The sequence below is a fragment of the Homo sapiens genome, chromosome 20 (genome assembly GCF_000001405.40).
Source record: "Homo sapiens chromosome 20, GRCh38.p14 Primary Assembly".
NCBI lineage: Eukaryota > Metazoa > Chordata > Mammalia > Primates > Hominidae > Homo > Homo sapiens.
Window position 1 is genome coordinate 16,035,970 of NC_000020.11, and position 18,416 is coordinate 16,054,385.

The following is an 18,416-nucleotide window of genomic DNA, read 5'->3' on the forward strand; positions in this document are numbered from 1 at the left end:
GAGAGTGAAGTAGATTCCCATGAGGGTGGCAGGTAGGAAGGAAACATTTCTGAACGCATTATCTAATCCAATTACATTAATAGTGAAGTTGGAACATAGGTATGGCAAAAGTTGTCAAGGTGGTTCAAGAAGGTTTGCTTTCGGTTGATACCACTTTAATTCAATACAATTGAATCCAGACAGGCCCTGAGCTCTGTACCTATCATGTCACCTATGCAACTACAGATTCTGCCAAATAATTACTTGTAATTCTATTTGTTGTGTGAAGTTTACTGTCAATACACATCTCAAAAGAAAAGCTTGGAGGACTCCTCCCCCGGCCAGCATCTCTCACGTTTATATATTTAAAAGTCTAATTAACTACATTCTGTGTGCATCTCAGTATCTTTTCTTCTATGATGACATCTGCCTCATTTATTACTTTTTATGTAACTCCACTAACCTAGAAAAAATTGCTATAATCAAGGGTTTGAGCAGTACAGTTGCAGTTGTTGATAGAAAATGAAAATAGTACTGAATGTCCCAGACTTTTTCTATTTCTGCATCTTTTATCCCCTGCTAGGAGCTCTGGAATGTACCTCTTGTTTGTGTTTCAACCAGCAGCAATCCAAATGGAAGGAGGGACAGGCAAACTGTAATAAATAGGCCACAGAGGCCATTTTTGTTTTTATCAGATTATGTTGTCTATGTGAAATGGATTCATTTCTGTAGGGCATCCAGTTGCACTGCCCAGCGATGTAGAAGCTATTAGGATAGTACCAGTTCCACATGCATGACACAGTAAGAAATATCTGTCATTCCTCTCCCACTTTCCAAACAAACAACTCACACACACATGCACGCACGCACATGCAAATTCACATAAACATACCATTGCACACATATGCATCATATTCACAGTGCATGTCCACACATACAGGAAAACCTCATGTGCACTCATGATATTAAATTAATGAACAATCTCTACCAAACATGATATTGGAGTCTTGGAAAGCAGATCTAACAGACTATACTTCCCTCTGCTCCAGGAATATAGTGGTATACAGAGCTACAACTTTGATTTCTGTTTTTTTCTCTCTGTTTCATGGATTTCAAATCTGCCATTGAATCTCATACTAATCTATGCCAATACTGTGGCACAACCTGAGATTTCTCACACATTCCATTGTGAAGTGAGGTTAGAAGGACAAGCATAGGGCTAGAAATTTAAATGTTTACTGTTTTCTGATTTGCTATTTGCATTTTGCTTTCTTCAACTTTTTCCTCTCTCTCACCTAACTTTTGAAAGTGTTTTGTACCCTCCCTTATTTCACTAAGCATTGTTTAATAGACTAGAATTATGCCTATTAGATAGAAAGTTCTCTGTGATACCAGAGGGGTTTCCCCATAGTAATGTAACCAGGGTTATTACCATTGAGAGTAACAACTTAGAAAGATATTTCCTGAAAGAATCAGCTACAGGTACCTCTAGATCCCATCAGAAACAAGGACCCTAAGAAAATAGTCAAGAAAGTAATGCTTAGATAGAGCTTATCAATTAATTTTTCCACAGTAATCATTTCATATAAATAATAATAATATTATATTTTAAATAGGTCTGATGATGTCCCAGAGAGTTAAGATGAGTCAGAATATTTTATAATCATTTTACTAGTGAAAAAGCCAAGGCTTTTAAGTGCTATGAGATTTGGTCAAAGTTATTGAAAAAATTAAATGACCAGCCACAATATCCTCTTTTGTGACACGTCTGTTTGTGTCTTGTCCACTTTCTGTTGGGTTCCCTGTCTTTTCAAGGTTATTTTGTATGTTTATTTCTTATATATTCTGTACAGGAGTCTTTTGGCTTATTTTCCTCTCCCTTAGCATGTTTTGATAAACTTATTTTAATGGTTGGTGCTTTGTCCTGTGTAAGAAATTTTGCATAATGATGTGAAGGTCTTTGTCCACATTACCTTTCACATTTATTTCTTTTTGAGGGTAGGGGAAACTATTTCTTCAGCATAGGTCTGTGGACACCAAATTCTCTCAGTCATATTCTCTGAAAAATATTTTATTTCAAATTCAAATTTGAAAATCTTTTTTTTTTTAACACTTCAAAGATGTCATTGCATCATCTCTGGCTTCCATTATTTTTGTTATGAATTTATCTATAAGTTTTATTGTTATTTTGAAGTTAATGGATCTTTATTCACTAGATAACTTTTTTTTTCTTTAATGTTGGTTTTCAGCAGTTTCACAATGATTAGACTGAGTGATAGTTTTTTTCATTAATTTTGCTTCGGAATCATAACAGTCTTGAAACAGTGGTTTGAGATGATATCTGATATCTTTCATTAATTTTGGCAAATTATCAGACATTATCTCTTAAAATATTCCTTTTGCTCTATTTTACATAGGATAAATCCTATCTCATATGGTTCCTTCACTCTTATCTGGGGTTTTCATCTGCAATTTAGGCTTCGTATCTTTTTCCGACCTAGCTTTTGGCTTACTAATCACCTCTTCAACTGGGTCTACCTGCTGTCAAAATCACCTATTTAATTCTTAACTTGTTTTTGTGGGGTTTTTTTTTTTCGGTTCTAGAATTTTCATCTGACTTTTGAAAAAGTATCCAGCTCTCTGATAAACTACTTTGCCGTAAAAATTATTCAACTTGGCATCCAATTTCCAAAATACATTAATTGTTATTTAAGCTGCCTCTGCAATACCTGGATCTCTGATGTCTATCCATATGTCATCTCTTTTATTCTCTTGGTTTTCAGTGACTTGTTCTTGTTCCTCTGAAATGCCAGGTAATTTTCGCATTGAATTCTGGACACTGTTTGAAAAACTGTAGAGATAACTTGAGGCTTTTAATCTTCCTCCAGAGAAGATTTACTTTTGCTTCTGACAGCAGAGCACTATAATTCAATCAGGAATTGTATTAATTAAAAGTTAGACTTCAGGTTTTTTTAAAGAGATGGTCTATTTCAAGTTCATGCTTGTCCCCAGGATATAACCCTTCAGGGTACCCCACCAAAAACCTGAGGTAGTTAGCAGGGTACCTCTCCTTGGTAGAACCCAACCTTCAAGTTTTGCTCCCTGCCCCTAGCCTCACAAAACACCTGCAGGCTCTATTCAACTTCTTGACACATGTGCAATGTCAGCTTCACCATTTTGCATTTCCTCAGGTTTGTCCTGCATTCATAGCACTCTGGGGCCTTACAATGCTATTTTAAATAATATGTTCAGTGTTTCTAGCTGTTCTTGGTAGAGGGTTAGTCTGAATCATTACAGTCCACCTTAGGCAGAATCCCTTTCTCATTATAATTTTAATTTGCATTCCTTTTGTTGTTAGCAAAGTAAATTACCTTTTCATGTGTTTTGCAGGCCATTTTTATATCTTCTTTTATTAACTGTCTGTTAAATCTCTTGTCCATTTTCCTATTAAGTTGGTGGTCTTCTTCATCTCCATTTTTAAAAGGCCTTATATATTAAAGATTGTAGTAACACTTTGTCTACGATAAAAGGTGCAAATATTTTCCCTCAATTTGTAGCTTTTTAAACATTTCTTTTGGTATTTTTTCCATTAAAAAGTTTATTATGTTTATAAAGTCAAATATTTTGTTCTTGCTCCCTATTACTTCTGTGTTCTAAGGCATAATTAGCAAAGTTTTCCTGCTCGCAGGCTTAGGGGAGTTCACAAATGGTTTCTTCTGTAATTGTGTGTTCAAGGAGTATGTTGATGAACAATTGAAAAATGATATATTTCTAGAATAGGCAGTGTGAGAAAGGTATTATATAGTGTTAACAAGTCCAGTTGGAAGTTCCAAGTTTTGTTTTTCCTTTTCCACCTCATTCTCAGGAGCTAGTGAAAAGCACTGTGGACACAGTGACTTTCATCTTGTCCTTGAAGAGTTGAGGAGACCATGAGTCCTTTTTTTCCCTTGTGTTATCTTTTTCCTGAGTTCTTTCATCTACTTTCATACTATGAATGTTACCCTATCTTGGTGTCCCCCAAATACCCACATGTTCCATTCATAATTCTCTTCTCATAATTCTCTCCCCAGTGCTAGATGCAAAACTTGTTTGATATCTCACATAAATGCCCCTACACTTCAGGCTTTAAATCTAAAATGACTTTGTTCTTCTTTTCCCACTCTGCTTGTTTTATATGTCATCAATTAATGACCTCTCTGCCATTCATCTACCTAAGCTCAGAGCCCAGTCACCTTTGAATCATATTTCTTAATTGTCAACCTCAATACACCATTACCAAGAGTACAAATTCTACCTCTGAAGATCTCTTCCTTTGTAGACATTATAAACTGGATCTTTCCTGTCCTTGCTTTTTTCTCATCAATAGGCACATGAAGTTTAACATACTCTGGACACAGTAAGTAATCAGGTAATGAAAATAAATTTAATCCTCTCTTTAAAAATGTACAGGAATCATAAAACCTTTAAAATTATGGGTTTTCTAGCACTTTATGTATGTATTTGTATTTACAAATGTCCTTGCTCTTCAAGTTATAAAAACTTAAGAGAGATTTAACTAAGAAGCAAGAAATGATTGTCCTTTTGAATACCTGGAAATGTTTTTACAATATGAAACACAATTCCTTTACTACATTGAAGCATCTTATCGAAGCACCTTGTGAAGCTGTGCAAATAGAGGCCAGTCACAAAGGAAATCTACTGACGACTAAATTCTCAGCAATCCGAAATGGCAGCATCAGAGGTCTCCTAAGGAAACAACTAAACCATTTGTTTCTGTTTAAAAAACAAACAACAACAACAACAAAAACTCTCACTACCAGGAGAATGAATCTTTCAGCTTTCAGTCATGCCTAAGGCAAAATTCATTTTCTCTTTTTCTTCTTCTAAGGTTAAACTACATAAACTCTCTCTCACACCCACCCATGCATACAGACACACTTCCCTAAATTTAAACTGTAGGTTGTTCTGAGGAAATCAACTTTTCCTGCTGTCATGCTACCAGATTTCTAATTTGAGAAACTATATATGTATATATGTGATCATCTCACAAATTAAAGAGAACTTAGAAGGCCACACAAAAGTATTCAAGCAACTCAACCCTCTGTTTCCTCTTTTAACCTTTTCTGCAAAAGAAGTTGAATCCCAGGAGTATTTTTGAATTTAAAAGGGCAATGGAGGGTGACAGAAATGATTGGCCCTCAGGCTGTTATAATTCTCTATTCATCAGGGACTGTGGTCTTTTTCTCTTCCAGCTCCAGGCGAGGACACACCTAGGATGCCTGGGAAAAGTGAAGGCTCCAGTGACCTAGAAAATACTCCAGGTCCTGATGGTAAGGTTCTGAGCTATTGGAGCCCATGGAAACTACAAATCTGGCATATTTTCTATGTGTAATCTAGGATTAAGGGAACTATCTGTTCTATAAAGCAACATATTTGGTTAGAACACAGTAAATTTCAAAAACAATTTTGTGCTACAAACTAATAAAAATGGCAACCTCTTATTTAAAAAAAAAACCTGTTTCTAGCTGTTTTAAAACAGCATATGTCCTGGTTTAATCATATCTTATAATACTGAGGACTCAATAGATACTTTCAAGACTAAACTGAACTGAAGTCTATCTAGTGAACTTTATGGAAGCATTACTTACTTCTGCAAAAGGTACTTAGCCTACTTAGCCTCCTGTTACCCTGCTCCACTCAGCATTCGGGAGAGCCCTACCTTTGGTGTGGGCTAAGATTGTTCTTGTACCTTCATCACTTCACTCCACTGTATCACATCCATTGCCTTGGTTAAAAACATAGTGAGTCTTTAAAAGCACCTTAAAAATAAATTTTCAAACAACCTTTAAAAACTTACATCTAATTTTGTAGGCATCTAAAGAGTCTGAGCCTCAGGAATATTAATATCCCTTTTCCCCTGCACAAAGATGCTAAGGGCCCTTTGAAATACCATTACTTACATTAGAGAAACAACTATTTAAGCCTACCTAATGTAATAAGTATTTGATTCCACTGGCCCATAGAGTTTAGGAGAACCAGAATTGGTTAGGTGGTCAGTCATTTAAGTATCTTGCCATTTGGGTTATTTTAGCCAAAGGAAAAAAACAAATTACTTTGAGTTGATAATGACCTTGGAAAAAATTTAGCCAATGGTGGATGTTATTTATAGTTTTAAATAGAATTTCCTATACCAGGTATTCCTTGTTCCCACCGGCTTATCATCACCTGAATTGCCTTCCTTAATTATAAGCCCATCGGCTTATATTGCCCAAATTGGCTTTTTACTCATGGGCATGCATTGCCTGTGAGAACAATGTTTTTAAGCCCCAGACCCATCCCTTAAGAGCCACTGCTTGTTAGTTATGAGCAGTTGAACTAAACCTGCTTCAGCTTGGTTGTGATGCTACAGACATGGTTCTTAACTAGTTATTTACAAATCATGTTCTGAGGACTATCAGGCCCATGAATAAAAGAGAAGTAAATGTGAAATACGGAGTTTTAGTCCTCACTTAGAGATTCACCATACACAGCAGAGGATTGCAGGCCCTCAGAAGTCTCAGAGGTAAAGAGACATGTTTAACAAGATTTAAAGTTGCTTTTCCCAAACTTATTTGGTGATGGGATGCTTTTTATTGTACCATTTATTAGTAGGTTTTAGAACTAGTATCCCTTGGTTGGAAGAAGAAACAGAAAAGGAATACTCTCCTGTATTTTATCCTGCACACTCCCACACTGAGAAGGGTGAACTCACAATAACTTTGCAGAGCAGGATGGACGGTGGATGAATGCTTATACTTACATAGGGTTGCTGCATCTGGGGCCAGTTTATTTATGGGGTTTAAAATGAGTTCACACATCATTAGAAACTCAGGGCAGTTTGCAGGTGAGAACACTGAGACCTGCTTTTAAAACCTTCCTTATTGGGAGAGAGTTCAGTGGATGCCATATAAAGTCATTCTCTCTTTCAAGCCTCTTTGAAGTGTGAAAATCAGCATCTGCCACTACTTTACACTAATTTCATGTTTGTGAAAAAGGAGATACAGGCTGTTGGTTTTGTGCAAATAAATGAAAACTGCCCAAATGAGAACAAACAGTGGTTACTTATTCAAAGGTAACTATAACAAGGGTGGCCATTATCACTTGTGTTTGGCAGGCTCAAAGGCGGGCAGGGGATGGGAAACCCCCCTTTATAGGTTAGAAAAAGAGAATACTTCAAGCATGCTCTGATTGGAGGTTGTTGGCCTAGAGAAGCTGGACATGGCTAACTAGAAGTGGGGCACCTTAAGTGATTGTATTAGGGAATACATTTGGCCTTCCCTGGTTGGTCCCAAGTTGGAAGCAGAGGTAAAAAATAGGGACGCTGACAGTCACTGACCAAGTCCTGACCATTCTGAGTCAATTGCTGCAGAGACTGTGTTTTGGTTGCCTAGGCTAGCTTCTGCAGAGGTTTTACATCAGAATTCTATCATTATATATGATCTGGCCATTGTCTATTTGTATACTGATTTTCTCAGCTTATAATGTGGACTTTGATGCTTGAGAAAATATCAATCTAATTAAACCTACTGACCCTTGGAAAATTTAGAGTGAGTGCTATGCCTGCTCTGGGTTACTTCTGGAGAATGGCAGTAATCATGCATTCTATTTTTATTCAAATGCTCACATAGAATACACTGAGTCAGGTAAAAGCACACGTTTTATCACAACTACGGGATCTGGTTAGATGGTCGGCTTTTTAATTTCATGGCCGCTCACTGCCACTACAGCAGCCGTCGGCAAGTCTACAAGGTCTGTTTTGAATTCGAAATTGAAAGTATGGCAAACCAAACAGGCCTGATATTGACATTTTGGAGCAAGCTGCTTACCTCTCTGCATGTCAGTGATGTGCTTTGCTTTGCCTTCTCTCTTTATTTTCTTAGATATCTATTAAAGCCTTTGCATTTATCCAAGAATCATAATATGTACATCCAAACTGTCAACCCAAAAATCTGGTCTGAAGTGACGACTCAGTTTCAGTTGAGGGAAGAGGCAATCCTGCCCTCCCACAATGGGTTAGGCCTTTTTTGTGTTGCTATAAAGAAATACCCAAGACTGGATAATTTAGAAAGAAAAGAGGTTTGTCTCATGGTTCTGCAGGCTTTACAGGAAGCAGGGTGCCAGCATCTGCTTCTGATGAGGAACTCAGGAAGCTTACAATCATGGCGGGAGAGGAAGGGGGAGTATGCAACTCACATGGCCAGACTAGAAGCAAGACTAGAAGCAACGTGTCACACACTTTTAAACAACCAGATCTCATATGAGCTCACTCATCACTAAGAAGATGGCACTAAACCATTCATGAAGGATACATCCCTGCAATCCAATCACCTCTCACCAGGCCCCACCTCCAACATTAGGGATTACATTTCAACATAAGATTTGAAGGGGGCGTCTGAGGTATATCCTCTACCCCCACCAGTAAAAATCTACAAGAATAGTCCCCAAATCTTGAATGAATGAAAACAAATGGAAAAGAGGCATCAAATAGGAAATCAGGAAAGTATCAAATCATGGGTCATTTTAATGTGTCTCAGAGATTTAGGTTTAATGAATATTTAACTTTTTTTTTTTTTCTGGTGACAGTTGAAATGAATAGTCAGGTTGACAAGGTAAATGACCCAACAGAGAGTCAACAAGAAGATCAACTAATAGGTAAGATGCCCCTTGTGGTGAGATTTTCAATGATCAACCAGCCATAAGAACTATTTGCAAATGACATACTGGATTTCCCTTGGTTTTGCCAAGTCCCCACAGCATGGCTTGGGATAAACCTTGAAAATCTTTAAACCAAATAACACAGCGTAAGGGGAAACGATCACCCCTAGAAGCTTGCCATCTTGAAGAGGAAAAGATGAGCTACAGCACATTCAAATCATGTATACCCTGGTTTTCTGTGCTTTGACAAGTAAAAAATGTCTCCATCCATCTCACCCCCTGGCCTCCTGGAGTGGTCAAATTATTTCAGAAACTCCAAGCTGATTCTGAAGCATTGCTTTTCTAGAAGCTACCTGCTGAGTTGCTTGGTATATCTGTCTTTAAGCATAACACTCAATCTTTGCCCTGGAGTTTGTATAAAGGAATATGAGTGTGTTTGGACAGAAACAAGCCTGCCTTAGGTCCTGTTTTTTTCACACCACTACCTGTGGACCCGTGCGTCTGCACAAAGGTTTGTTATGTTGAATGAGCTTCAGGGAACTCCCAGGAAAATAAAAAGCCTGGGTTTGTTACGTTGAATGAGCTTCAGGGAACTCCCAGGAAAATAAAAAGCCTGGTCCAGATCATGTTTAGGAGTTTTTCCAGACCAACATTCTAAATCTCTCAGTAGAGACTAAAATATATTTAGAATGATGAGTGTAACTGAGTCCAAAGCCAGTACTGCTTGCTTCATGGCAGCCAATACATCAAGAGACAACGTGTTGAGGCAAGGAAAATGACTTTATTCCAAGAGCCAGCAAACCAAGAAGATGGCAAATTAATGTCCTAAAGAATCACCCTAAATTTATAGAATTTTAGGCTCCTTTTCTCTTTGAGGAAAAGGAACAGAGAGGTGGTTGAGATCAAGAGGTGACAGACATCTGGACTGCAGCAAGGGTTCAAGGGGGAGTTGTGAAACGTCTTTGCCCTTGGTCAGGTCACATTGCTCCTATAAATCTTTAACATAATGTTGTTACTTGTGTGCATACTGTCTTTATCTCTTCGGTGGTTAGTTTTGGGAAGGAACTATTGTCATCTTTGCTTTAAAGTTGAACTATAAAGTAAATTCCTGCCGTAGTTAGCTCACCCTGCATGAAGAGATGAGCAAAAGCAATCAACCTAAAAGATATCACTGGACGGGGGCAGCGGGGAGCAAAATGGAGCTAGTCATGCTAAGCCTCCTTTACACTGCTACCTGAGTGGTCTATAATCCTCTTCCATACCCTGAGGGCTGATGAGAAGAATTAGAAGAAGGAAATTATGCTTGATGTTATAACTGTTCCAAGTTCTGGTTTAAAATATTTAGTTGTTAAAAAAAAAAGAAAAAAACCTATGGAATAAATGAATCATGGGTCATCTAGTGTAAGGCACAAATAATGTGTTGACACCCTTGCCCCCTGTACCTCCTTGCACTCACTGCATGTTCTTGATGGTTCTCTACACTTTCCTAAGAGGCTTGGCTTTACCACTCTTGTGCTCCAGCATCATGGAAGAATAAAATATGGGAATGTGTGAAAGAGTACATGTCTTATTCCTGTATGGTCTTGAATATCCTATAAAACTAAATGTAATGGTATCTGTGTAATGCATGTATAGCATAAGACTGCTAAAAAGTATAAGCTCATACAAACATGTTCTTATAAACATTTCTCCTTTTTTTTTTTACTTTCTTTATATATTTAAAATACCCTGCTAAGCTGCAGAAATGATACGGTTGAGGAGTTTCCATTAAAAAGTAATGAAATGAGACTAAACTTGAACAATTTAAATGCAAGCTCCTCAGTGTTTCCTTTCCTTTTACCCTTTTGCTGCCAATAAACTATAGGCTTCTTGTCTAGACTTTTTTCTTACAGACATTATTTCTTTCCTGTGTGACCAGTGTCCAGATGAAGTGCCAGGATTAGTCTGTTTTTCTTGGTTAATATCAAAATGATATTTTTCTTGAAAATAAAAATGAACTCATATGTTAACCCAAATGAATCAGGTGTCAAAACTTTTTTTTTTTTTTTTTTTTTTTGAGACAGAGTCTCACTCTGTCACCCGGGCTACAGTGTAGTGGCACGATCTTGGCTTACTGCAAACTTCACCTCCCTGTTTCAAGGGATTCTCATGCCTCTGCCTCCTGAGTAGCTGGGATTACAGTCGCGTACCACCACAACTGGCTAATTTTTTGTATTTTTAATAGAGATAGGGTTTCACCATGTTGGCCAGGCTGGTCTTGAATTCCTGATCTCAAGTGATCTACTTGCCTCGGCCTCCCAAAGTGCTGGGATTAAAGGCCAGGTATCAAAACTTAAAGTCCAAAATTAGTTTAAGGAAACTAAATTCCAGGAAGGAGAAGTGACATGCACAGGGTCACCTGGCTAATAAATGGAAATTTAAATACTCCAATTCAAAATTCTGCTCCCTAAGCAATAGCAAGTTTCTGGACACAGTTGTCACAGAGGCAGAATGAATGATTTGTGCAACGTCACTGACTCCCACAGCAATATTTACACAGAAGGGTTTGTTAAGATGATCTGGTCGTTTGACAGAAAGAAGGAACCCTTGCTCCATGAATCATACCTTCAAGGAAATTAAAGAAATACAGTGAAATAGAATTAGAGAGCTCAAAGACATAATACAAGAATGTTTGGCGTTGTATAATTTGTAATTGTAAAAAATCAGGGATAGCATAAGGATACAACAGGGAGAGGGTTAAATGCATCAGTGGAACACTTTCCAAATGTAAATGTTTTCCAACAAGTATTTGAGGGCAGTAATGATGGTTATGGAATCTGAACCTTTGGTTCTGGAGAAACATGGCAGACTGAGTGTGGCTTCTAGGTTGAGCTTTAAGAGGCTTGTAACTTCCGTTTTTGCACTCTCGTAATGCTCGTTGCCTGGAATCCAGACACCTTGGAAGAAGCCCAGGTTATCCTATAGAATGAAGGAGGTCACATGGAGAAAAGTCCTAGAAAATGAGAATCCCTTTCAGATGTTCTGGCCCCAGCAGGTACCACCCTCAAGCAGATGAACTGTCCTGCTCAGTCCAGGCCAGATGGTAAAATCATGAGAAATAGTGAATCACTCATGTTATAAGCCACTAAATTTGGGGCTTTAGATTGTTGATACAGAGACAGGCCTTATGGCCACAGTCTTGCATTTTAATGCCCACCTTGGACCTTGAACCATTCAACGTAAGGAGTTGGAACTGATACCTCTGCATAAATAAATCTAGGACTTCTAGCTCAAGAAATTAATAGAAAGACTTGGATCTGCGCCAGGTACTGCATGGGGAGAGAAAAAGGCTCCCAAGATAGATAGAAACCGCAAATACACTGTGAGTTTGAAACATAATTTTATGTGATCCAAAGTCATGCAGTAATAAACAAATTGAAAAATGAACTTAATAATTGATTACAGACCAGTGTGATTCCTGGTGTATGTGGCAAATGGAAATATGAAACTACCCCATGGAATTTCTGCAAAAGAAAAACAAATTCTGAAGTTGAATTCATAGTTTTAAGACTTACAGAACACACAAGGAAATGATCCATTTTGAGTGAGAGTCAGTAGGTAAAATTACAGGACAATTAGCACTATGAGAACGTTAAGAGAGTAGGAAATTTTGAAGATTTTATAAAATAACTACATTTGAATGACAAAACAAATAAAAGCAGACCTAAAACAATAAGAAAAGAGCAACACTAAATAATTAACGACAATAGAAAAAACAAATTAAAATGTAGTAGTATCAAAGACACGTGAAGAGACATGAAGGAGAAGAAGAGAATAACCAAGACATGTTAAGTTCAATAAGAGTTCTACAAGGAGACTAGGCAGTGTAGGGCTGTGTATTTGATTGATACCCACCAAGCATCTCCAGGTTTAACTTAATTTGGACTGAGATTACTGAAAACCAGGGACCGCAGATATAAAATACAGAACCACAAGGAAATCCCACCACGATCCCACTAGTATTGAATTATAAAGTTAACACCACCAAATGTTACAGAGGATGTGGAGGAGCTAGAACTCTTATACATGGCTGGGGGACATATAAAATGGTTCAGCCACTTTTAAAAAATTGTTAGTTTCTTGTAAAGTATGTATCCATCCTATGGCCCCACAATTCTGTTCCCGAGTATTTGAGAGAAATGAAAACCTATATTCACAAAAGCCTTGTACAAGAATACACATAGCAGATATGCTCACAAAAGCCCCAAACTTGACACAACACAAATGTCTCGCAGCAAGAAAATGAACTTTAAAAAGTGACATATACATACATGGGAATTCTAGTTAGCAATGAAGAGGAACAGATTACTGTTAACAAAGCAGCAACATGAATGAATCTCAGAAGCATTACACTGAGTGAAAGGAGACAGACACAATGAGGTACTTGTATGATTCCATTAGCAGGGAGTCCTAGGGCAGAAAAAAACTAATTTATGGAGATAGAAATCAGATCATTTGTTCATTCCAGCAGGAGTGGGGTAGTAGGGAAGGGAACTTTCCAGGGTGATGTCATGTATATCTTCTTGGTGGTGTGGGTTTAATGTATGCATTTTTCAAAACAGATTGAAATGTATGCTTAAGATCTGTGTGTTTTCCTGTAGGCAGATTATACCTCAATTTTAAAAATCTAAAAAAAATAAAGAGTATAGGTTTTTGCAAGGCACAGTGTCTTCTTAGTGTCCTCTCATGGGTAGTGAATAAGGCAGATAATTTAATAAGTACAATCTGAAGTGGTGGCATAACCATCAATGACTTTTGCAAAGCAGCATTATGAAAATTGTTATTATTTATATGCTGATCCCTGGAAACTAGAGTGTGAGCATGGGCCTGAAAAGGGAAGCCACATCAACTCAGGGTTACAGTTTTCAACGAATACTTTGAAGAATTGAGTTAATCGTCCCCATCAGCCAAAGCTCGTTGTCAATGTGGCATACATTTATTAACAGTGATTTATATGCTCTTTAAAGATACCATGTGCCAGCAATTACAGTTCAGACATCTAAAGCTCTTTGATAGTCAAATAAGATATTTCTGGGCCTATGTGAGGGGTGAGAGACATTTAAATGGCTGTATTAAAAATGTATTCCTTGCTAAGCCTGTGAAGATGTCTTATCTTTAATCTAACAAATGGCTTCTCTTTGTCTTCAGCAGGGGCACAAGATGAAGCGAAGGAACAAAGAAATGGAACTAAATGACAATCCTCAGCATCGCAAGGCCTCTCCTGGCTCTGGGGGAGCTCGGGAAGATAGCAGCACACGCTGTGGAGGAGGGTGGGGGTGGGGGGAAGGCAAGTCCCATGGAAGGACGGGGAATCCTTTACTCTAATTTCTCCAGCTGCATTTTGTTCCGTTTATCTGCAGAAAAAGAAAGAAAAAAAAGAAAAAAAAAGTTTCCTTTAATTTGGTGGAGGGACCCATGTTGACGCATCTTTCAGGCATTATCCTTGTAATTTCTGTCTTTTCTCTTACAACTTTGCCCCAGGGTCACAGTGGCTTGATTGAACACTCACATGTGTATCCTGGCCCCTGTCTGCTTTCTTGGTTATTTCACAAAGCTGGTCACACAGTGGTTTATTCAAAGGAAGGGGAGGAAGACAGTGGTTTGATAAGCTGCAGGATAAATTTTAGGAATCAATGAGCCCAGCAGCAGTATAATCCCCAGACAGAGGAGGCAGGATAGAAAATGGGCAAAAGCCTCGGAAACCACTTGGAAAAGGTCTGGACAATGAGGTGAAAATATTTTCTTCAGGGTTCCCAAGGCACAATTTGTTCCAAGTGGCTAATGAGAAATATGGAAGCTGAATTTTTTCCAGAGCAGAGTGCAGAGGCATAACAGAAGGGTGGGCCCTGGCAGCCATCTGGGTCTCTTCCTTCCTAACCATGGTGGCAGGTGCATCCTTCTTTGACACTGACTTTCAGCAGAGCTTACTTGGTTCATGAGGTCTTCACATGGAGACTACCAGCAAGAGGTGACTCTCTGCTGCATAACTGTAAAGGATGGCCCTTTGCTAGGTGTTACAGTTAAAAGCTAAGAAAAGGGGCAGTGCATTTAGGACCCAAACATATGCCTATGAATATCAAAAGCTCCTCCTGAAATTGCTGTGAGTTTTCCATAAAAGAATATCCTGTCTTCACCCAAGGCTTGACAGCCCACAGAGTGGTCTCATTTGAAATTACAGGAAATTAGAGCTTTTGCTTGCAGTTCTGCCTTCCTGGCCTGTGTTTAAATGCTGTCACTTGTTTATGCCAAGTTCAAGGCTGATTCAATGGTTGGTCCCCTCACCCAGAAAACCCTGAAGGGGAGGATACAGCTCTGAAGGGGGGCAGCAGTACTAAAAACCCAAGATGCCAGTGGTATAGTGGGCACAAGGGATGGCGACCATGAGGATGCCAGGCATCATCACCAATATCTATCCTAGAGCCAGTATAAGGCCAGATGCCTACTTCCCACAGCCTCCCCGGGTTCCAAAGTCATGTCATTGTTTTCAGTGGAAACATATCGTTTGTTGCATATCTTCTTAAATCCATCTTCCTTGTAAGGGCTTTAGAACTAAAACTTACTTATATTGTTTTTCCTTAACAGAGGGAGAAAAATAGTGGATTATTATTTCTAAAATAAAAGGATGTTCTGCTTTCTAAATATCCCATCAAAATCTTCAGTTTTGCACTTTTTTGATGGAAAATTCATCTTATCTTCCTATGACTTTGGTTTTAGCCTTTCTGAATTTGTTACCCCTTCTGGATGGCTTATTTGATATACTGGAATAGTTAACAAGCTATACTTCAGCATATGCACTATATTCTAACAAATTTTTTTTAATAAAATCAAGACATCAGCAAGAATGACATTTACGTGACCTCATAATGTGGGATTATGGCCTTCTGTTGCTATTCCAGTTTGATATGGAAGCATCTATATCCTCTATTGCCGTTAGATGTTGTTGCTTTTCAGAAAAGTAACGAAAAGGCTCATTTTAAAGAATCCAAGAAACGATGTCATCCAAATATTGACAGTTTCTACATTTCATGCCATCTTTATAACTCAATTGAAAGTTGCCGTCATTCTTGTGAAGTATTTGACAAGTGCAATCTGCTAGAAGCTCGTTTTTCTTGTGACTCCCAAATGTTAGTGCTACTTAGCCTCAGTAATGAGTTACAGTTGAAAAAAACATGAGGGAAACAGAGGGACAGAGATTTTCTAATGAACAATGATGGAAGAGACCTAATGTCCTTGCTAGAAACAGCCAGGATGGAAATTATCCAGCCCTGGCATTCTCCTTATCATCAATGACAGTCATTTTATTCATTTATTTCAAATGTGGGTGGGCTAGAAGTGGAAGGAGGGAATTCTCTCTGCCTAAAAATTCTAGAAGAATGAAAGTAATCTTTGTATCCAGGAAACTAAGAGAATGAGGAATAAATATCTTCAGCCCGACTCCTGAATTTGTTTATTCTTCCATCTATAATTAGATTGTGTTTTCATTTTTGCTTTGTCATGCTTTTTGGTTGTTATTTGGCTATACAGTTTTATGCTTTAAAACAAATGATAAAGTTAATTTCCAATTCAATAGTGAAATATTAACAATCTAACTATAGCCAGATCAAAGACACCTGAACACAGAAAACCTTTATTTGCTGGTGCTGCCATTGCACAGGCTGTACAATGAAATAGATTTGAAAAGCTGATTGATTTTCCCGCACATAAATTCTGGATGTCAATTTCCAACCAAACTCCAATACAGCTATGTGGCATGAAGAGTTACAGGAGGGAGGGAGGAAAATAGCCCTATGTTAGTCATGTTTGCATACAGAGGATCAAAGTAGGCCTTCACCATAATAGTTCTAATTAAAATGGTCCTCGCTGTAGGAGAGACAAAGGGGCTTTTCCTCTAGCTGGTAACTATTCAGATGATGGACAAGTCTTCTTTCATAAAAGATTACAAAGAAGGCATCCGAATCACTGTCTGTGATACTGGGTCACATATTAATCACTGCAGCTAATTGTAAATCTTTCTATGAAACACTGAAAAGCCTCTTTGTGAATTAATACAGTTCTGCTTGATGCACTTGATTTGAAAAGACATTTCTCTGTATGTGGCGCATGTCGGCTTTGCTTTGAAAAATAACAAAGTTAGCAGAATATGTTCAATATATTTTCTTGGGGAATAGGGTTTTTATTACATGATTCATTAAGGATTTGCCTTACCCTGACATTTGTGATATAAAGGAAAATCAGAAAAAAAGTAATTTTCTTGATCAAGATATGTTTTTACTTAATGCAAATAAATGTAGTCTGTTGCTTGCAAGGAAAAAAAAATGGCTTCTGATATCTGGTATAAACTGCTAAATAGGATAATACGTGCCTCTTTTGTTAAACCGGCATTTAAATGCTGGACTGCTTCTAAATCTGTTTGTTTCTTTTCATCTGTGCCATACACTAAAAAACAACTGTTGCCTTCATACTATATTTGTTAGAGCAGAATACAAATAAAATTTGTTTGAGAGGATAATGTGAAATTATCTGTGTTTTGTGAAATTTGTTCTTTAGCCACAAGCAATGAGTAACTAAAACTACTCACTTAATACTATTTGACTGCAAATATATATATTTAAAATTATTCCTGTAAGTCAGCTTTAACTTACTGATAGTTTTCCCTTACTAAGACTGGTCAGCGTGTTGGCCGTGTTTTTCAAATTTTAAACTATAGAGTAGTTTTGTATAGCTGCAAATCCCAGTGTCTAAATTTTCTCTGAATACTAGATAATTACTTACCCTAGCATCAGCCTCTGAAATGCAAGTTATAAGTTGTTGAGATAAAGCCAACGGTCCTGTGAACATTGGTCTATCTTTCAGAACCCATGACCATGGCTGGAATTTTTAGTGAGCACCTTTTATGATACAGTCACTACGCTGACACTACAATCATGGCAGCAGTGATTCTCGGTCTACTGTTGGTGGAATTGACAGAATTACGGAATTGTTAAGAGCTTAGCAGTAGGCCACCAAAAAATCGCTACAGGAAAAACTCAGTGTTCTTTTGAAAATGGAATACGCTTGCCACCAAATTTAGCTCCCTTCATCTCCTACAGAAGGTATCAGCATTATTATTTGAGGAGGCAATACAGAAAGCCAACCCCTTTGTCAAACAAAGCCAGATACTTAATAGTTTAAGGATAATAAGGTTTTCCAAACTGCTGTACCACTGAAGTGTTTTTCCCATAATAAACAAGGTTGGATGAGACAAAAATTATAGATAGGACAGTCTTATGCTGCAATGGGCAACCGCAACACAAATGCTTCAGAATAGCAGTGAAGATAACGTGAAATGGCCAGGTGCAGTAGCTCACGCCTGTAATCCCAGCACTTTGGGGGGCCGAGGCAGGCGGATCACCTGAGGTCAGGAGTTTGAGACCAGCCTAGCCAACATGGTGAAACCCCATCTCTACTAAAAATACAAAAATCAGCCAGGCATGGTGGCAGGTGCCTGTAATCCCAGCTACTCGGGAGAATCGCTTGAACCCAGGAGATGAAGGTTGCAGTGAGCTGAGATCATGCCACTGCACTCCAGCCTGGGTGACAGAGAGAGACTCCATCTCAAAAACCAAACCAAACAAAAAAAAAAAAAAAAGAAAAAAAAACATAATGTGACATGAATCTAGCCCTGCTAGATGCAGTTTTTCATCTCTAACCAATTTTCATATCTT

General features: G+C 38.1%; 1 protein-coding gene across 8 annotated transcripts in view; it reads left to right on the top strand.

Annotated features, from left to right (window-relative positions):
• Nucleotides 1-17,228, top strand: part of MACROD2 (mono-ADP ribosylhydrolase 2) — a 2,057,682-nt gene extending 2,040,454 nt beyond the window's left edge. For 5 of the 8 annotated variants that reach the window (NM_001351661.2, NM_001351664.2, NM_001033087.2 and 2 more), the window contains 3 exons: nucleotides 5,232-5,309; nucleotides 8,602-8,670; nucleotides 13,861-17,228. In NM_001351661.2, the coding sequence (NP_001338590.1) occupies nucleotides 5,232-5,309; nucleotides 8,602-8,670; nucleotides 13,861-13,907 (194 nt within the window). In that variant the 3' untranslated portion in view covers nucleotides 13,908-17,228. The remainder of the gene's footprint in view (nucleotides 1-5,231; nucleotides 5,310-8,601; nucleotides 8,671-13,860) is intronic. The other 3 variants (NM_080676.6, XM_017027676.2, NM_001351663.2) reach the window with 2 other exon arrangements.